Source organism: Homo sapiens, chromosome 9, assembly GCF_000001405.40.
Source record: "Homo sapiens chromosome 9, GRCh38.p14 Primary Assembly".
NCBI lineage: Eukaryota > Metazoa > Chordata > Mammalia > Primates > Hominidae > Homo > Homo sapiens.
The window spans coordinates 74,396,165-74,402,681 of record NC_000009.12 but is presented as its reverse complement, the minus strand read 5'-3'; positions in this window follow the sequence as shown (position 1 = coordinate 74,402,681).

The following is a 6,517-nucleotide window of genomic DNA, read 5'->3' as shown; positions in this document are numbered from 1 at the left end:
ATGGTCCCTGGAAGTCAGAAAGACCTTGGGAAAAATATTAAGACCTCTGATTTACTTTATTTTGAAAAATCTTCCAATTGCTTTCCTTTGTGCTAGAATAGATTACAAACTCCTCACAATGAACTAGAGGGCCTCTGGCTACCATGTTAACGTCTTCTCAGAGCTCTGCATTATGATCTGTACTCCAGCTGCTTCCCATCTTTCTGTGTCTGTTCTTGACACATACTGAGTTTATGCCTGCTTAGGGCCTTTGCACATACTGTTCCCACTTCCTGAAATTTTCTTTTCCAGATCTTTGCTTGGCTTGTGCCTTTTCATGCTTCAGGTCTCAGTTCAAAGGTAGCCTCTTCAGAAAGGCCTTTCCAAATCACTCCTTGCTATTCTCTCACTACTGTCTACCTTATTGCATGTTAGAAAGGAATGGTCTTCATAACACTCATCATTCTTAAAAATTTTCTTGTGTAATTATTTCCTTATTTATTATTTGTATCTTTCCTTGTGTTGCAACTTCATCAAATGAAATCAATCCTGTTAGCTATTGTATTCTTGTCTTCTAAAACAGTATAGAGTAGGTGCTTAATAAATCTTTGTTGATGATTGACTAACTAGATGAGTTTTCTGACCTTCTTTTTTTCGAGACTATTTCCTGCCAAAGTCACACATGGGCTTTTTTCTTATGCACAGTTCAGTTTATTTTAATTCTTAAAAATTGATTGACTTGCACACAACAAAATTGACTCAATTGAAATATTTGGCTAATTGATCTGTCACTGTAGGAAATATAATCTGGCTAATAGATAGCTGCAGAAAACCTGAGATATGTAAGTTCATTTCCATTTTTGGAACTAGAGTAGGAAATTAAGCTGAATTGCAAAACTCAGGTCTTTTATGATTTGGACTTCCATTCTTTGTATCTGAATCTCTCAGTTGATCTGAAAGTTCTAGTAAATCATTAAGTTACCCTTTTTCCCAGCAGAACATCCTTCTTATATTATGCCGGGTTCCCACTGTCCCAGAATTTCCACTGGGGAATGGGTCAGATTGGAAGCAATGACCTGAACTGAGGGGCAGATAGTAGCATTTTCTTCCCTTTCTACGCTGACAATTACATTAAATAAGTCGAGATTTCAGCTCTTGGTTAGGTTTGCTTATGCAGTCCTCTTTTGGCTGCAATTAATTTGTAGACTTTTCCTACTAAAAATGTTGATCTCTCAAGAAGCAAGTCATGGTGGACTGATGTTTATCATTTGTGCCTGTTAGCAAACATTTCTCAGTTATTGGCTATAATCAGGCTGTAGCTAAATTTTGGTTGATACCAAGAGTTATGAAGCCTAAAGTATTAGGGAAACTGTTGAACAAAATCAATTAAATAGTTGTCTATTTTAAAACTGCTATTATTTAAGTTGTAAATCTCTGCCTCATGCTTCAGCCAGTTTGTAGATATTACTATTTCAGTCATCAGCAGCCCAGCTTATTAAAATAATTAAATGTCAGTATTTCCTTTTTTCTCTGTTATATTACTTTCAGTTCTAAGTTTCAAATGAGTGTTTACTTTTTAAAATGATGAACATAAAAGCAAACAACATTAGTACCCAAGGATGATGTTTTTATTTGCCATTATTTTATTTCAACTGTAATTAAATGAAAGTAATATTTTAAAATTTTACTCATAGATATTATTGGTTATGCTGGGAGCACAACAGAGTAAGTATTTAAAATTTTCATTCAAATGTTAAGTCTAGGCCTTGGAAAAGAGATATTAAAATATTACTATAATTTTATTTTCTTTTTCTTAAATGTTAATCTCTCTGATTTCAAGGAATATTCTCCTACACCATTTCATAGGATAGATGATGAATGAATAGATTTTAGTAAATTAAAAACAAACTGATTTAACAATCAACTTATCTTAAAAACCACAATGTATGTGAAAACTTTCAATATTATTCACATTTAAGAGAATGCAAATACATGAAAGAAAAGACTTGGAGGGAGTATTGAGCAAGGTAAAATCTGATAGATGTAGGTAAGGGTTGTGTTGGGTTTTCACAGAGATTTTATTTTGGAAAGAAAAGAGAACAGAAGAAAAATAATTATCTGTTGATAAGATATTATTTTTAAAATCCACCTTCATGATTTTTGGTTTTTATATTCCCTATTGCTGGTTGCCTTAGAAATATTTTGCTCTCCGATGTCAATAGTGAAGGTTTAGAAATTATTAAAGGTTTTCTTTTCATACTCCAAAAAAAAAAAAAAAAAATTTTTCCTCCTTTGATCCAAAGTAACTGACCCCAAATCCTCTACCAACAAGACCTGTTTCATTAACCTTTACATTTCAGCTGAGAACAACAGTACACTTATATGTTAGAGTGCTAGCTCCTTAATAATCTCTAAACTAAAACAGCCACTATTTAATATTTTGTGTAGTTGGCCGGGCGTGGTGGCTCATGCCTGTAATCCCAGCATTTTGGGAGGCGGGCAGATCACCTGAGGTCGGGAGTTTGAGACCAGCCTGACAAACATGGAGAAACCCCATCTCTACTAAAAACACAAAAAATTAGCCGGGTGCGGTGGCGCATGTCTATAATCCCAGCTACTTGGGAAGCTGAGGCAGGAGAATTGCTTGAACCCAGGAGGCGGAAGTTTCGGTGAGCCGAGATAGTGCCATCGCACTCCAGCCTGGGCAACAAGAGCAAAACTCTGTCTCAAAAAAAAAAAAAAATTTAGTTTAGTTACAATTACAATTTTTAGTTGCTTTTGTTAGATTTAAAGAAAACTTTAGCCATAACTAATAGGTCTATAGTTCAATTTTGGGTGCACAGGTGGAAATATTCATATGAAACTTAGCGTTCTCATAGTTTCTTTTTCCTTTGGTTTCAGTGTTTTCAAAGTACACTTGATTCTGCAGTTTTGAGCTACAGCTATTGAGCCAACTATCTCCAAAGCTGTCCTAATCTCTTCCTCCTTTAATACTAAAATATGTGCTTGTTGAGCGATAAGATCATGTCTATGCCATTTTTGTTTGCCTGATGCTGGAGTAGCAAATAAGTTTCATCTCTGTGTCAACTGCAACTAGATTGTTAGTAAATGCCTGCAGTGATGTATTGAAAAGCAATCTGAGACTGTCTGACACAAGTGGAAAAGATAACCGTGTTTGATTAGCAATGTCTGCCATGGGCATAGGAAGAAAGAATAGCTCTAAGACTAAGTATTTGCTATCCCTGTGCTTGTGCTTAAGGAGGTGCCTGGAAGAGATTGGAACTTTATAAATGTTTGGTATATAGATGAATGAACTTCCGTTTTATTTGGACAACCATTTTATGCAGCAAGAAAACTCAGAAGTTCCTTTTAATCCTAACCTGGAAAGTTTCCCTGTCACTTAGTCCAGAAACTACTCCCTGGTTTTGCCAGATAAAATCAATGGTTCCTGGACCTCACCCAAACTAAACTTCCAAAATGTCGATCTATATAATTTACTTCTCACCCAAGTTACGTATTTGTCTTTGAGTGCTATTTGCATTTCCTATATATTTGAGTTAATAATATATGTGATCTAGCCACTTTAATTTTGTTGTTTCTGTGCTCATGGTTGACCCTGGACAAATTATGAAGTAGGCTAAGCATGTTCTCTGTGATCTGAAGCTTACCTCTACAATTTATTTTCTTCCTCTACATGGCCCTTTCCATAATACCGAAACCTGCTTTCAGGAAAAGGTCTGCTATAATATGACGCAATGCTTTTAAGCTAATATGTTAACCTTCATAGGAACATTTAAAAAATGCTTTTTCTATTTTTTTTTTTTTTATTTTTTTGATACAGTGTCTCACTCTGTTGCCCGACTGGAGTGCAATGGCCCAATCATGGCTCACTGAAGCCTTGACCTCCTGGGCTCATGGCGGTACTCATTCCTCAGCCTCCTGAGTAAATGAGACCACAGGTGTGCACCACCATACCCCACTAATTTCTTATTATTATCATTGTTATTTGTATAGACGAAGCTCCCGATGTCTCTCAGGCTAGTTTCCAACTCCTGGGCTCAAGGGATCTTCCCACCTCAGTCTCCTGAAACACTTAGATTACAGGTGTGAGCCATTGCACCTGGCTCTAATTCTTGAGCAAAAGTCTTTGTCTTCCTCCTTTGCATATGTTCTTTACAATTTTCTTAGATTCCATAATCTTTCATAATTAAGACAGTACTCATACATTCCTTTCCGTACAGTACCAATAAAACATTTATAAAACAAGCAAACAAATAGGACATCAAAAAATCTTGATCTAAATGCCTGATGATAATCTAAAAGGGATATTCTTTTCTTCAATTAATAACACATAAACACTTAGTTGAAAATACAATTAGTCATGTTATTTCTTCTTTCTAATGCTTGCCCAAAATGCAAATAATAAAATCTACTTTATAAGCTGCATTAGAATGAAACACATATACATATGGTTTAGCACAAATACAGCGCCTTGACTCTAATGGATACACAATCAATGATAGGTGCTATTATGACTTGTGCTAACTCTTGTCTGTATCTCAAACATGTTTTCCCTTCACTGCTATGCCTATGAAAGTGTCTCCTATTACTCCATCAAACCTTGAATATTTGTTGTGGTAAGGGCAGCGCGAACATGACTATTTGAGAGGTTCCAATAAATCAACATCTGTTTTTCTCAACCAAGTGTTTTATGAGGACTGAGGACAAATAACAAGTGATTGATTTGAATTTTACAGTTTTCCTGACTGCATGATTTTTTGTGTGTGTCTGTGTGTGTGTGAACATCGTATACTTTTCAAGCAGAAGAGAATGTTTTTAAAAATGTGGTTGAAAGGAAAAGAGACAAAACAACAAATCTATAAATCCAAAATGGTCCTCTAAGTTAACCTGGCTGTATAAATCCACAATGATCCTCTGAGTAACGAGAACTGGCTCTATAAATGCTTATAAGCATATGCCATTAATCTCTTTTGTTTCCCCGTTTATTTTATAAGCTACTTGAGGGGAAAATATATTTATAACTTCATAGTGCCTACTGTAATGGAATACACATCATGAAATTTAGTAACTATTTTCTGAAGAAATATAGCAAACTCTCTACCAAATTTTGTGTTGCTTTTTCATAATACAGTTTTATCACTGGCATGTGGCTACCTGCTGGGGACTACATTTCTCATCTTCCTTTGCAACTTGGTAAGGACACGTGACTATTTCTCATGATAGAATGTGAGTGGAAATGATGATGCCGCTTCAGGGTAAGAGTGGTAAAGAAGGGAGTGTGTTTGCTTCATGCTCTTTTTCTGAGGACTCCACTGAGGGATGTAGAGACAGTAGCACAAGTCCCTTACCACTACAATCACTTACACTGAACTGTAATGGAGAAACAAACTCTTACCGAGTTAAGATACTAAAAATTTGGGGCTTGTTACCATGGCAAGCAATTGCCTAGTAGTAAGCTCATTTTTCATGTGTATGCCCTAGCATTCCCTAAGCTCGCAGCAAATTTGAGTTGCTTTCAACATCAAGCCTAATTCATAACTACACCGCTAACTTTGATTTTTTACTTTTATCTCAAATTTCATCCAAACTATCTAAATTCTGACATCTTAATTACCTAAAGTTTTGACATGCCACATGTGAACAAATTTGTGGAATATTAGTTATGCTGACGGTTTAAGATCTTCCTTTTGGCAGATCAAGACGGGCTGAAGCAAGACCATCACAATATTGCTATACTTATTCTTGTTAAGCCTTTCTTCAGATTGTTGCTTGGAGTCATTGTATTTGTGATATTTTGGTATACAACTACTTTGTGGCCGATCATGACAGACAATAGCCTGCTGTTTGAATTAGAAAAATTACTGTCTTCTGTTTTTCTACAGATACTCTCTGTAATAATAAAGCCACGATATTTATCAAACATGCCTGAATGAAAAACAAAACAAAATCAAACACCCAAAACAAGTTTTTGTTTGGATGGTGAAAAGAACTAAAAGAAATTAAAGAGTAAATGACTTCAAATTGATATCTTTCAACTATAATTTCACTAAGTTGCTGTTTGGAGCATTTGTATGTCATATTTTTCAGACATATTTTTTCTTTATAATGATAAAATAACAGTTATTTAGTCTTTCTCAAATCTAAGTTGTTCTGTGCACAAATACAATTGTCCATCACTGGACATGTTATGGGAAAGGCCCAGAACAACAAGTTTACTTTATTTTTAAACACGCTGCACCTTTGTGATATCACAAATAAAAATCATCTTCCAAACCTGTTCTGACAACTTTCATAATATCTTGAAATTTTAAATTTAAAAATGTCTAATATGCTATGTGCATAATTAAAATGTTTTAAATCTTTTCATCCTTTTATATTAAGGTAGTTTTAACCATTTGCTATCCATCAAATATCAATCATAAGCAGAAACTATCTGAAAACAACATTAATTCTAGGGACTGAAATAATTATTATGATGACTGTCACTTTAATTTAGAGCATAATGATAATATACAGT